At 42.1% G+C, this 14976-nt stretch overlaps 1 protein-coding gene and 1 pseudogene across 3 annotated transcripts in view; both read right to left on the bottom strand.

The window, feature by feature from the left end:
- Positions 1463–2986, bottom strand: NPM1P46 (nucleophosmin 1 pseudogene 46; annotated as a pseudogene).
- SF3B1 (splicing factor 3b subunit 1) overlaps positions 11862–14976 on the bottom strand; it is a 45310-nt gene continuing 42195 nt past the window's right edge. For all 3 annotated transcript variants that reach the window (NM_012433.4, XM_047443838.1, XM_047443839.1), the window contains one exon: positions 11862–14539. In NM_012433.4, the coding sequence (NP_036565.2) occupies positions 14381–14539 (159 nt within the window). In that variant the 3' untranslated portion in view covers positions 11862–14380. The remainder of the gene's footprint in view (positions 14540–14976) is intronic.

The following is a 14976-nucleotide window of genomic DNA, read 5'->3' on the forward strand; positions in this document are numbered from 1 at the left end:
CTGCCTCCTGGGTTGATGTGATTCTTGTGCCTCAGCCTCCTGTAGCTGGGATTACAGGCCCGTGCTACCACGCCCGGCTAATTTTTGTATTTTTAGTACAGACGGGGTTTCATCATGTTGGGCAGACTGCTCTTGAACTCCTGACCTCAAATGATCTGCCTGCCTCAGCCTCCCAAAGTGCTGGGATTACAGGAGTGAGCCACCATGCCTGGCCTAGGTTTATTAAAAATTATTATTATTTACTAAGTCTTTTTTTTTCCAGGATGATGGGGATGAGGAGACAATAGCCCCAGCATCTGGTCATAATTTGTAAATCTCGACATTCTCCCTAACACCAGCTGGAAATATTTCATGCTCTAGCATCGTTTTACAAGTTGCTGGCAAAAAATAAGCATCCATCTTATTTAAAGACTGTAATAAAATGAGAAAGATGGTTATTTGCCTTATTTTTTGTCTTTTTTTTTTCCTTTTATAAAAACAGTTAGTTGTTTGCGGTGCCTTCAAAGAATGTTAAGTTAATAAAAGCCAGCCTTTACCTTACAATCTTTATTCAACAGTAAGGTTTGTCAGATACCAAGGGCTGGTTTCTCCCAAAAATCATTAAAGGTCTGGCTCCAAAGGTGTGCAAGCCACCAGTTAACCGGGGCCAGCCTTTGTTTTCCTAGGCTCTGCTGCCCCCTGTCAGAAGCTAAGAATGTTACAGGAAATAGAATATTTTGAACAAAGGTTTTCACAGAACAGCAGTTTTACGCTCTGTCAGGTGATGAAATAGAATACTCTCCCACCTTGTGAATGAAGACCATTGAATTATTTGCTTAAAAATATGCCTACTTGCTTGGCTGCCTAGAAGTTCTTGCACAACTCCCAGCAGTAATAACCTGTCTGAAATAATTCAGGCGGCGGCTGTCATTCACTGAGTCCGTCTGCACATGTACAGGGAGCGGCAGATGGGTGCTGGGGGCGTGAGTTGTGTATCCATTCACAGACCATCGGGGAAGACGACTGAACAGATGACTTCCACGTCGTAGAGCAAGGGAGAAGTGTGTGCACCCCAGGTGCTGGGGGAGCACGTCAATGCAGCACTTTCGCCAGGGGGGTCCTAATGAAGTCGAAGGAGTCCATTCTCAAAGAACTAGCGGGGACCAGCCAGCTGAAGGGGAAGCAAAGGGCTTTTCTGGATAGTAGCAACTGCATGTGCCAAGGCAGAGGCCCCTGGAAGAGGGTGGTAAGTTCTGGCAATAGCAAGAGGGGACTGAATTATACTCTGAGCACCCCAGCTGCTACTCCGCTGCCTGGCAACTGCTGGTCCCCGGGCCACTTCATCTCCCATTGCCTCAGTGTATGGCCAGGTCAGAGGCCAAGACAAAGGCAAGCAAAAGGGCCCTGGAGGGGTATCCAAGGCACACTAAAGTGCTGGCGGTTGCCTTGTGTTCTGCATGCATTCTTTTTTTTTTTTTTTTTGCTTTATTAAAATACTGAGTTTTATTTCACATGTATATTTTTGTCTCCCCACCATTTCCACGTCTGACCACCGCTACTACTATGTCCTATCATAACATTCCATACATACTTAAAACCAAGCAAAGGGTGGAGTTCCATCTTTAAAAACTAAGCAGGCATTTTGGACAACACATTCTTGGCAATGGAACCTGGACAACATTTATCAAACATGGTAGGGAAAGTTCTCACTCTGCATTATAAAAAGGACAGCCAGATATCAACTGTTACAGAAATGAAATAAGATGGAAATTTTTTAACAAATTGTTTAAACTGTTTTCTTAAAGAGACTTCCTCCACTGCCAGAAATCTTGAATAGCCTCCTGCTCAGTCATCCAGAAGCAATTCTTCACATAACTGATGAACTTGGCTTCCACTTTGGGAAGAGAACCACATTTTTCTATACTTGCTTGCATTTTTGCTTTAATGTCTTCTACAGAACTAGGTCCTTTTAGGTGTTTTAGGAGTTTTTTCCTGTTTTTTGAAGGATTCTTGTCCTTTTGATCTTGGTGTTGATGATGGTTTTGAGTCTTTTCCATTCTGATTTGACTTTTGTGCATTTTTGGCTCGAGTATCTTGAATAGATTTCTTCACTGGCGCTTTTTCTTCAGCTTCCTCATCATCAAAGTCATCATCATCATCTTCATCATCGTGATCTTCGTCATCATCTTCTTCATCAGCAGCAAGTTTTACTTTTTTCTGTGGAATCTTGCTACCACCTCAGACCACTTTCCTGATATACGTAAGAGTTTCACATCCTCCTCCTCTCATCTTCTGACTTTGCATCTTCCTCCACAGCTACTAAGTGCTGTCCACTAATATGCACTGGCCCTGAATCACACTTGAACCTTAACACCACTGGTGATGTTATTTCAAAGCCCCCAAGGGAAACCGTTGGCTGTACAGACATTTTCTTTTTTTTCTTTTCTTTTTTTTTTTTTTTTTTTTGAGATGGAGTCTCGCTCTGTTGCGCAGTCTGGAGTGCAGTGGCGCAATCTCGGCTCACTGCAAGCTCCATCTCCCGGGTTCACGCCATTCTCCCGCCTCAGCCTCCCGAGTAGCTGGGACTACAGGCGCCCGCCACCATGCCTGGCTAATTTTTTTTGTATTTTTAGTAGAGACAGGGTTTCACCATGTTAGCCAGGATGGTCTCGATCTCCTGACCTTGTGATCTGCCTGCCTCGGCTCGGCCTCCCAGAGTGCTGGGATTACAGGCGTGAGCCACCACAGACATTTTCAAAGTTGCCAGTGTTACTTTAATTGGACTGCCTTCATCATTCATGGCCTCTGCTTCAACAATGTGCAGTTCATCCCTTGCACCAGCCCCTAAACTGACCGTTCTTAAAGATAACTGGTCTCATCTTCATCATTATCCACCTTAAAGTGATCATCTTTGTCGGCCTTTAGTTCACAACCGAAAAGATAGTTCTGGGGCCTCAGGGGGCTCATGTCCATGTCCATTGAATCTTCCATCAGATGGTGGCACGCACTTAGGTGGGAGAGAAGGAGGACGGAGATAAACGAACGCTGCTCCAGAGAACAGCCACGCAGGACGGAATCACACCAGGGATGTTCTGTATGCATTCTATCCACATCCACAAGAGTTCAAATATTTTGCTATCTGGCCGTGCACAGTGGCTTACGCCTGTAATCCCAGCACTTTAGGTGGCTGAGGTAGGTGGATCACTTGAGCCCAGGAGTTCGAGACCAGCCTGGCCAACATGGCAAAACCCATCTCTAAAAAAACACAAAAATTACCCGGGCATTGTGCTATGTGCCTGTAGTCCCACCTACTCAGGAGGCTGAGGTGGGAGGATCACCCGACCAAGCCCAGGAGGTCGAGGCTGCAGTGAGCCAAGATCACGCCACCGCACTCCGGCCTGAGCGACAGAGCAAGAACTTGTCTCAAAATATATACGTGTGTGTGTGTGTGCTATCTACTGAGGACTCTATCTCAAAGAGAAAGGGGACCACTAAACAGCCAACAGAGATTTGTACATAGTCAGAACTACTGTTCACAAAATGACACAAGGAAACACCAAGCGGGGAGTAAACAGTGATCATCTGTGGGATCTGAAAACTCTACCTCCAGGAAACACCTAAATTGATTGCTCATAAAACTATTTCCTCTGCCCGGCTGCCCACCATCTGGGAAGTGAGAAGCACCTCTGCCCGGCCGCTGTGCAACCCTCCAAGTGTGAAGTGACAGCCTTGTGTGTGATATTTCTGCCCTCCCCAAGTTTGCATTTTCAACATTAAAGTTTACTTTTTAATTAAAAGTTTTAAATTGGAGAATATTAAAAAACTATTTCCCCTCAGTGCTGAACTTGTTTCACCTCATGAAACCAGTTAACTAAGTGACAAAAGAAAGTTTTGTCTTTATCAGAGTACACACACATGCCAAGACATTAATTATTTACAGTTTTCCATTATTCATCTCATTTCCATTTAGTGCCTCATCTTTCAGTGAGCCATACGTTTTCCCTTTGAACAGGGTTTTGGCAAAATTTTTCCATTTTTTATGTCCCTGTAATTCATTCTCTATCAAACATTAAATATTCATTTATTTCTGTACTCTATAATAATGTTTTCCATCCTCCTGGTCTCCTGGTGACTTTGACTTTATCAGTCCTAATGGATTTTGGTAAGGAAATGATACTCCTCAAAAAAATCATACACTTCTCATTAGTTCAGAACAACAGTGTTAAAAACTAATTTTGATAGTTAAAATAGCTGAAAATACCTGAGTGCAGTGGCTCACGCTTGTAATCCCAGCACTTTGGGAGGCCGAGGCAGGCAGATCACGAGGTCAGGAGATCGAGACCATCCTGGCTAACATGGTGAAACCCCGTCTCTACTAAAAATACGAAAAAAAATTAGCTGGGCATGGTGGCGGGTGCCTGTAGGCCCAGCTATTCGGGAGGCTGAGGCAGGAGAATGGCGTGAACCCGGGAGGCGGAGCTTTCAGTGAGCCAAGATCGTGCCACTGCACTCCAGCCTGGGTGACAGAGCGAGACTCCGTCTCAAAAAAAAAAAAAAAGCTGAAAATAACGGAGAATACATGCATCAGCGGCAAGAGCATCAGCTTGGAGTCAGATCAGCCATGCTTAAAATAACCGCACCATCAGTTAACCTCTCTGAGCCTTAATTTTCTTGTCTGTGCAGTTGGCATAAGAAGTGTCTACTTCTTAAAGGTGCTGTGAGAAATAAGTGAGTGAATGAATGCTAATGCATTTGGAAATTATAAAGCACTAACAGATGTAAAGCGTGTTCTTAAATTACTTATTGAATGAATGTAGGTTTTATAATTTTTCCTTTGAACACAAAGTTTCTAATCATGATGACATTCTTTTTTAGACATTGTCTATTTGCACACATCTCACCAAAATCAGGAATGATTTTCTTCTTTGCTAGGCCCCAGTTAATTGATTCTTGTTAAAATTAACAAGATATGCCAAGCATGGTGGCTCATACCTGTAATCCCAAGACTTTGGGAGGCTGAGGCAGGCGGATCCCTTGAGCCCAGGAGCTCAAGACCAGCCTGGGCAACACGGTGAAACCCCGTCTCTACTAAAAATACAAAAATTAGCTGGGTGCAGTGGCATGCACCTGTAGTCCCAGCTACTTGGGAGGCTGAGGTGGGAGGATCACTTGAGCTTCGGAGGTGAAGGGTACAGTGAGCCATGATTGTACCACTGGACTCCAGTTTGGGTGATAGAGCGAGACCCTATCTCCAAACAAAAACAAAAAGCTATCAAGACAAAAATTTTAGGCTGGGCATGGTGGCTCACACCTGTAATCCCAGCACTTTGGAAGACCAAGGTGGAAGGATAGCTTGAGTCCAGGAGTTTGAGATCGCCTGGGCAACATACAGAGACCACCATCTCTACAAATAATAATTTAAAAAATACCCAGGCACGGTACATGCCTGTAGTCCCAGCTACTTGGGACGCTGAGGTGCAAGAATCACTTGAATCTGAGAGGCTGGGGCTGCAGAGAGCTGTGATCACGCCACTGCACTTTAGCCTGGGCAAAAGAGTGAGACGTTGTCTCAAAAAATGAAATAAGTAAGTAAATTTCAGCACACAAGAAAACAGCACTGCATTCAAAAAGGATTTTCCTTCTTGTTCTTTTTTCTCCAAGACAATATTAAGTAATAGCTGTCATGCATCCCTTTTCAGAGCATTGCCTGCTTGTTTCCCTGCTTTGTCACATGTATCATGATCCATTGGGGTGGCTGGACAGAGTGCTGCAGCTCCAGGCTCCAGAAACAACATGAACAGCTCACCTGCCCAACTCCTCATGTGGAAAATGTCCACCTGCCCTTTGTCTGCAAATCCAATTAGCCAGGATCATTTGGAAGATTTTCTATAAATCATTTTCCCTGGAAAATATGGAATATCCTAGATCCCTTTGTGGTATAAAAAAGCTATTTTTCTGACTAACACCCTCTAGACCTCTAAAGTAAACTTTTAAGGAAAGAAGCAAACAAGCAAGTAATCCGAAGAACACAAAACTAGTTTGATACCGTTCCCTTCCACAATTGTCCCAGCTCTTGGGCAGTGGTTGTCTAGCTTTGAGGCAGCGACCAGCAGGGGCCACAGTATCACAGTTAAGGAGGTGGGAGGAAAGCAGCTGGGTGGGGACCATGACTTAGTCTGAGCATCTTTGAACTAATTCAGCTCTGAGAACATTTGCTGTATAAGCTCTTTATGTATCTATGATCTGGATCAAGGAAATGAACTAGAGATATTGATCTTCCTGCAAGCACGGTTCAATTCATGCCACTTCCCTACTTTAAAATCTTCAATAAATACTTGTGGAATAAGTGAATGTTGAATAGTCAGTGGTTACCCATTGCCTATAAGATAAAGTTTAAGAATGGCCTTTAGAGAGTAATGATATAGTTTGGATCTGTGCCCCCACCCAAATCTCATGTATAACTGAATCCCCAGTGTTAGAGGTAAAGCCTGGTGAGAAGTGATTGGATCACAGGGGTGAATTTCTCCCTAATGGTTTAGCCGCATCATCTTCTTGGTGCTGTTCTCATGATAGTGAGTTCGTTCCTGCCAGATCTGGTTGTTTAAAAGTGTGTGGCACCTCCCTCCTCTCTCTCTCTTGCTCCTGCTCTGGCCGTGTGACTGTGTCTGCTCCCCCTTTGCCTTCTGCCATGATTATGTTTCCTGAGGCCTCCCCAGAACCCAAACAGATGCTAGCATCATGCTTCCTGCACAGCCTGCAAAACCGTGGGCCAATTAAACCTCTTTTCTTTATAAATTACCTAGTCTCAAGTATTTCTTTATAGCAATGTAAGAACAGACTAATACAGAGACATTCCGTAATCTGAATCCAAAATACCATTCATCCATTCATTTGTTCAATACATACATATTGGGTGCCTAGGAAGGGAAGTATGGTACTGGGTGCTAGAAGTTCAGATTTGAACAGACATAGCAGATACTGGCCCTGAATTCTTGGGGCTACATCTGATCTTCCATTATTTCTCATCATTTGGGCTGTCCCCCCACCCTATTTTCTTAGACACAACCCAAGCTTTCCCAGTTCCACTATTTTGCCAAGGCTCTTCATTGTCCCTTTCAATACCATATATGCAATTCTAACTTTTCCCTAAAAAGTACACCCTTCTCCTGAAGCTCCCACCTAATCTCACTTTCCCTCCTCCCACATGAAGGAAGCTCCCAGGTGAAGGAAGTTTTTCCAGCATCTTACAGGGAAGGACCTTTTCAACTATGTTTATAGTATTAATAGTTAGCAAATGCCTTGTAGATAGCTGGCACTTAGTAAATATTTGCCAAATAAATGAATGAAGTCCTCATGATTTAAATTGTAGATAACTGTGTTTACACCCCTGAGAGACATTTCTCAAACCTCCTCAAAAGTTATCATCTCACGAACTCAAAATCCAAGTAGATCATTTGTTCATGATTACTTAATGCAATTAAAATATATGGCTGGGCACAGTGGCTCACACCTGTAATCCTAGCACTTTGGGAAACTGAGACAAGAGGATCACTTAAGCCTAGGAGTTCAAGACCAGCCTGGGCAACATAGCAAAACCCCGGCTCTATAAATAAATAAATAGACCAGGCACAGTGGCTCATGCCTGTAATCCCAGCACTTTGGGAGGCCGAGGCGGGCAGACCACTTGAGCTCAGGAGTTTCAAGACCAGCCTGGGCAACATGGCAAAACCCCGTCTCTACAAAAAAATACAAAACTTAGCCTGGTGTGGTGGCATGCACCTGTAGTCCCAGCTACTTTAGAGGCTGAGGTGGGAGGATCGCTTGAACCTAGGAAGCAGAGGTTACAGTGAGCTTAGATTATGCCATTGTGCCCCAGCCTGGACGACACAGCAAGACACTGTCTCAAATAAATTAATTAAAGAAAAAAATGTAAAAATCCCCATTAGAAAATGAAAATGTATTGAACTATATATCTCATTTGTTTAGCATTCGGGGTAGAATCATGTCACTATTCCCAGAGAAATAAAACTTGAGGGATGTGCTTCTCAGGTGCTTCTAACCACTGAATGACACTAGTTCCATCTAAAATGATTTGAAGATTTAAAGAGCAAATCTATACTTTTTTTTTGAGACGGAGTCTTGCTCTGTCACCCAGGCTGGAGTGCAGTGGCGTCATCTTGGCTCACTGCAGCCTCTGCCTCCCGAGTTCAAGTGATTCTCTTGCCTCAGACTCCCGATTAGCTGGGACTACAGGCGTGCGCCACCATGCCCAGCTAATTTTTTTGCCTTTTTAGTAGAGACAGGGTTTCACCATGTTGGTCAGGCTGGTCTTAAACTCCTAATCTCAAATGATCCACCCACCTTGGCTTCCCAAAGTGCTGGGAATACAGGTGTAAGCCACCATGCCCGGCCCAAATCTATGCTTTTAAGTCTTCAAGTGAACTCACACCAATCCCCTAATTCTCTCTTTCCTTCTGCTGCACCTGCAGATCAGTCCAACCAAATACCTTCTCTAGCCAGCTGGACTGTTGAGCAATACTAAAGAATACCTTGCAATCCCTTGGGATTCCCAGACAATCTAAACATCCCTGATGAGTGCCTTCTATTTCCTCAAGAGTTATTTCCAAAGTGCTTGCTCCTCAAGCCACCTGCCAATCTCCATCCCTTCTAATGTCAGCAATAACAGAGGTCTTTTCCCTCATGATAACAGGCCAGGAGTGATGGCTCACACTTGCGAATCCCAGCACTTTGGGAGGCCAAGGTAGGAGGATTTGCTTGAACCTAGGAGTTTGAGACAAGCCTGGGCAATATAGTGAGATCCCATCTCTATAATAATAGTAAAATAACTATATCAACAGCAGCAGCCATTACATTTATTAAGTGCTGTGCTTAGGCACTTTGCTTTATATACATTATTTTAGCTAATCTTTACAAGGACCACCACCTACTGAGGTAGGTACTATTATTATCCCCATTTTACAAATTAAAAAGCTGAAGGATAGAAAGGTTAAAAAACTTGCCCAAGGTCACATCACCAGTTAGTGGCATAGCCAGGTTACAAATCCAGGACTAACTGCAGAGCCAACTCCTAAACCTATACTGTGTTGCCTTCCTGTTCCACTCTTCTGTCAGGGCACAGTAAGGGCAGAGCCAGGATTCCCAAAGGCTACCTGGCTCCCCCAGGTGACCTCATACCAGTGTCAAGACAGTGAGCTCTCCTTTTCCATTCCAAGCCTCTCCAACAACCAATGTCAGTCAACTAGTAAGCAGCAGAAGCAATACGGAGATACACCTATGAGGTTTATTAACTACATTACGCTGACCTGCTTTATTGGAAAAAGCAATGGATTTTATTAAAATAAAAAAGGCTTCCTGCACCCTCTCTTTTAATTTCACCCAGGTTCCAGCAAAGTACCTTCCTGGAAGTGTTTTGATAACCTCTTGGCTGTGTCTAAGGCCCACTTGCTTCCACACCCAAATAGGCACTTCAATTGTTTTTTTACTGTGTTATTGCCACATTGAGAATGGAGTGGTGTCCCAGTCTAGTGCTTCTCAATTTCAATGGCATATGAATCACTTGGGTATCTTATAAAAATGCAGTTTTTTGGGTTTTTTTTTTTTTTTGAGACGGAGTTTCATCCGTTACACAGGCTGGAGCGCAATGGCGCGATCTCGGCTCACCACAACCTCCGCCTCCCGGGTTCAAGCAATTCTCCAGCCTCAGCCTCCCGAGTAGCTGGGATTACAGGCATGCACCACCACACCCGGCTAATTTTGTATTTTTAGTAGAAATGGGGTTTCTCCATGTTGGTCAGGCAGGTCTTTAACTCCTGACCTCAGGTCATCCGCCTGCCTCACCCTCTCAAAGTGCTGGGATTACAGGCGAAGCCACCAAGCCCAGCCCAAAGATGCAGCTTCTTATTCAGGTTCCGGATGGAGCCTACAAGCATGTTTCTAAAATCCCCATGTGACATTGATGCCAATCTCCAGACCACGCTTGAGTAACAATGGCCTAGATATGTGGCATGTGAACAGTTCTTCCTTGGTGATCATCTTGGTGCTAAGTGCTTTTCTTCCCAAATGTATAAATTATATTCTGCTTCTGTGATCAAAACTATGTAAAGCATCGGTTTACACATTACACATTATACATACTATAGACACCAGAGTGTCTGAGTGTTAAACTTCACCAGCTTTTTTGCATGAATTTTTTACACAAGTCTCATTTTCCTCACTATGTCTACTTGTTTCTAAAGCACCAAGAAAACTGTTTTGAAATTCTGACATGCCATAGATGAACTTTTCATGCCTATAACCCACCATATCTTTTTCCTTATGTACTCAGGGAAAGATGCTGCTCCTCCTCTTCAGGAAAACCCTTCCATCTGTGCTTGATTTCCACACTTCTCTGCCTCATTATTCATTCATTCAAGCAGTCGCCCACTTTGTTTAGCTCATTAGCTTCCTCCTCTATTTTATCTAGTCCAAACTTCTCTTCAGCAATACTGCTTGAAAATTGTCTCAAGAAATTCACTATTTAAAATAAATACACAAAAGCAAAATAGCAAAATTTTAATTGTTGAATTTAAGTGGAAAATATACAGTTGCTCATTTAATAGTCTTTCAACTTTTTTCAAAGTTTGGGCAGTTATAGAAACAATTTCTTCTATTTACAAGTTTTTTCCTAGCACAAACCTATTTAGATTAAATCCCCTCGCCAGCCTCTCAGCTAACATGTTAAAATTTCCTTCCAGAACTTCATTAATCAGCCAGGCTATAAAAAAGTAACTGTCCAAGGCCCAAGCATGTCCTTTCAAAATCTTTTTAGAATCCACAAAATAAATTTTAAAACTTAGTTATTCTAGCAAGAACACTAGAGATGTCACTGACTACACTCACTCTGGTTTACTTACTTATTCCCTCCTGCCTACAAATCTTGACTGCCTTGCAAACCTAAATTCTCTATCAAGTCACATTAAATTCCCTCCATGGCTTCCTATCCAAATTTTTTAAAAGGGGAGGAAGGGGTTTCTGTGCCCTGCCTGCCCTCCTCTTCCAGCCGTACCATATAACCCACCTATCGCCAGCTCACAGGTGAGAACACAATGCTTGAAGACCAGCATCCCAAGTGGAGCACCAAGCCACCTCCAGCACTCCTGCCCGAGCTGCCAACATGGCTCCCAACTGTCACAAGATGCTCTGAGGATCAGTGCGGGGTCATCTTACACATTTTCACAGCTTACTCTCCCCAGGACTTATGCGGAGCTTTACCCCAAGGTAGACATTTAAGTATTTGCTAAGTTGTATTTCTAGTTACTTCCTAGACAACTGCTGCCTAAAATCAAATGCTTTATATATCATGCTTTAATTTTATTAAACATGTAAGTCCTGCTTAAACAATGGTCTCAGTGGTTCTCACCCTAGGGAGATTTTGCTCTCCAAGGGACATGAGACAATGTCTGGAGGCATTTTTGGTTATTACACTGGGATGGGGGTGTGCTGCTGGCATCTCAATAGGTAGAGGTCAGGAACACTGCTCAAGATTCTGCAAGGCACAGGACAGCACCCCCACAATAATGAATTATTTGATTCAAGATGTCAATAATGCCAAGGTTGAGAAACCCTAGGGTAGCTGTAGTGTTTTCTTTTAACCTTAGGGGATTTGAGAGCCACTGGAAACCAAAGAGCCAAACTGAACCTATGTGGCTGCAACTTTTTTAGTTTCTTATTAAAGAAAAAGTTCTCTGGTTTTTCAACACTAAGTTCCCTTATTTCGAAAACAACCGAAAGAGCTCAATTTTGCAAAAATGGCACAACCACAACAGAGTGCAGTGTGATAACAATACAGAGTCAACTAAGATTAAAAATTGGTCTACTAAGACTTTAGATATAATACGTTTTATTCATCTAGTGGTACTTGGTGCTCACAGGGCACTGTACAACAAATTTTAAAAATACAATATGAAAAAAATCAAACAGCCAGAGATCAATTCCATTAGAGGGCGATGGCCCACAGAAAAACCAACAAAGGCCCACAGAAAAACCCACCCTGTCTCCTTAAGAACATTTCTTTGTTTGGCTTTAAGAAACACCAAAAGAAAATACAAAAGAAAAGGTCTTTGAGAAGATAGGTAAAACTTCACATAGCGTCTTCCACATATCACAAAATGCTTTCCTTATTTAATAATAAGCACATAAAATAATCCAAATATCTGTGAGCCTCTATTTGGTCCCAATGTTTTAGGTCATAGCTTTCACTACTTCCCTCCTCTCTATCCTCAAATTATTTGCATCAGTAAAAAAAGTTAATTAAGGTGTAACAGTCTCCTTTGCTCCACAATGCCACTACAAAGCCTATTTTCCATAAAGAACCAGAGGCCAAGCAAACGTAGGCTACTAAGTACTTGAATTGAAAATACAACTAAAATTTCCTGAGTCATTTAACATCAAATTTTGGCTTTGTAATCTATTTGTATTCAATTCTCAGTCATTACTGAAGGTCATTTGACATCAACCATAGAGAGCAGTGAGATTTAAAGTTGCATGGAAGTACCGCTGAAAACTTCTAACAACAGAAAGATGAGTTTGGAGTGTTTAATTTTACTACATAGTGACATATATTCAGAAAGTTGTCATACAAGGAATGATGAGGAGTTACAAATCCAACTTGGAAACCCTTAATGCTCACTATCAATTTGTTGAAAGTCAATTTTTTTTTTTTTTTTGAGACGGAGTCTCTGTCGCCCAGGCTGGAGTGTAGCAGCGCTATCTCGGCTCACTGCAAGCTCCGCCTCCCGGGTTCAAGCCATTCTCCTGCCTCAGCCTCCCTAGTAGCTGGGACTACAGGCGCCCGCCACCACGCCTGGCTAATTTTTGTATTTTTAGTAGACGGGACTTCACCGCGTTAGCCAGGATGGTCTCGATCTCCTGACCTCGTGATCCGCCCGCCTCAGCCTCCCAAAGTGCTGGGATTACAGGCATGAGCCACCACACCCGGCCACAAGCTGTTTCTTAACTAAGCTTCTGAAGCAGGAACTCCTAAAGTGTCAATAGGCAGTTTTACTTACAGTAGTAGTTATATACTAATGCTGCTTGCAGAATTTTTTTTCCCTTTAGAGTTCACAGAAGTACTACCACATGGAGACAAAACAAAACAGTAAAAATAGTATAGGTAGTAAAAAGGCCAAAACTAAGAAATTTGGGGCCATAACATTAGAAAAGTTTGAAAATATACTTTACATATTTGCTTAAAAAATTAAGTGTAGTACTGCCTTAATGCTTGGTTCCTCTACCATTAAATGGCATTTCATTCAGTTTATGCTGAACTCTTAGATCAACTTATTATTACTGAATACAAAGCTAAGCAAACCTAGACATTTTAGCTGCTGCCACTGTGTATTATCACAGTACATAAGGAATCTGTCACAAGGTTTGTCTCCCCTTCTCCATTATACTGTTCTTAAAGGTAGAGGGCAGGTCTCATGCACCTTTGCATCCCCTGCATATAAGCACAGTGGCTGGCATACAGTGGGTGAATAGGTATTTACTGATGCATTGCTGAGTAGTGGCTTATAACATGGAGAAAAGCCCAACATTGTCCTGTTCTATCAGCATTACTTAGGTATCCTCACTCCTAATAGGCAGAAAGCAGTTTTGAAGTAAAGTTAAATTCCTCACTTGCTAAACACAGCAGACCTGTCAAGTGTTGGACAAGACTTAAACCACTTTCTTTAAATGTGTTCATAAAGCATTTTGAGAAATCAAGAGATGAAAGGCGCTATGTAAGTACAAAATATTCAAGACAGTTTAGCAAAAGTGCTACTTTTCTACGATGATGGAATGGTTGTGCTAGTTTGAGGGGAACATCCCCTGAGGCTACTCTTCTTGCTGTCATTATTAACACAACAATGGAATTTTGACAAAGATGCCATCACTTTATATAGTTTTTATTCAGCTAACTACTTTCTATAAACCATGTGACAGAAAATGAAATTAAGCCACTTATTCCACATAAACCAATACTTTATCAAAGTTCCGCATTTTACAAGTCATGTTCAAAAAACACACACAAATTAGCATTTTGTACACAAATGTTTATTTCTCAATTAAACATTCCCTTTAAACACAAGGAATGAGTTCTAAATCTTCATAAAGATGAATTAAAAATGAAATCCCTCCAGTATAGTGTATATAATCACTGTGTTCTTGGTCACTACTGGCATTTACTGTTTAACATCAAAAACAAAGACAGGTTATTTAAAAATCATGCTACTGGATTTCTAGCTCTTCCTCTATGACCAGTTCTACACTGATCTGCAATGTTTAAAAGTTTACATCACCAAATCAAAGCAAGTTTAAGGTGTGAAGTAGCTGTGCATTAAACACAAAATAAACAATAAAATTATAAGATATAGTCAAGTTCATAACGAATATAGGTGTTCTTATCATCGTTGTAGATTCTTGGGTAATGTGCTATGAGAGCGTCCTGGGAACCAATGTAGATGGAGTTGTAAATTTTCCAATATACATCTCTGACTTTCCGGGCTGGGTGAAACAGACCCTAAAATAATTGAACGGTTACATTATTTCAATTTTTAAGAACATACATAACCTTAACAAAATTAAGAAAACATAAAGATATGATTCAAAATTATTTCCCTTGGGGAGTTGGGGGGGGGGGAACCTACTAATTACACTGCTCTTAAGCTGCAATGGAAGAGACAAAACTCACTCCCCTGTCACCACACAATTGTTCTACCATATGGCACAATATACCCTAATGATAATCAGGAAAAGTAACTTAATTCAATACACTACTTTTCTTGCTAAGTAATCTTTTAAAAATCTTTAACTTACAGGCAGTGGGGGGAAAGGGGAGGGAGAGCATTAGGACAAATACCTAATGCATGCAGGGCTTAAAACCTAGATGACAGGTTGATAGGTGCAGCAAACCACCATGGCACATATATACCTATGTAACAAACCTGCACGTTCAGC

Source organism: Homo sapiens, chromosome 2 (assembly GCF_000001405.40).
Source record: "Homo sapiens chromosome 2, GRCh38.p14 Primary Assembly".
NCBI lineage: Eukaryota > Metazoa > Chordata > Mammalia > Primates > Hominidae > Homo > Homo sapiens.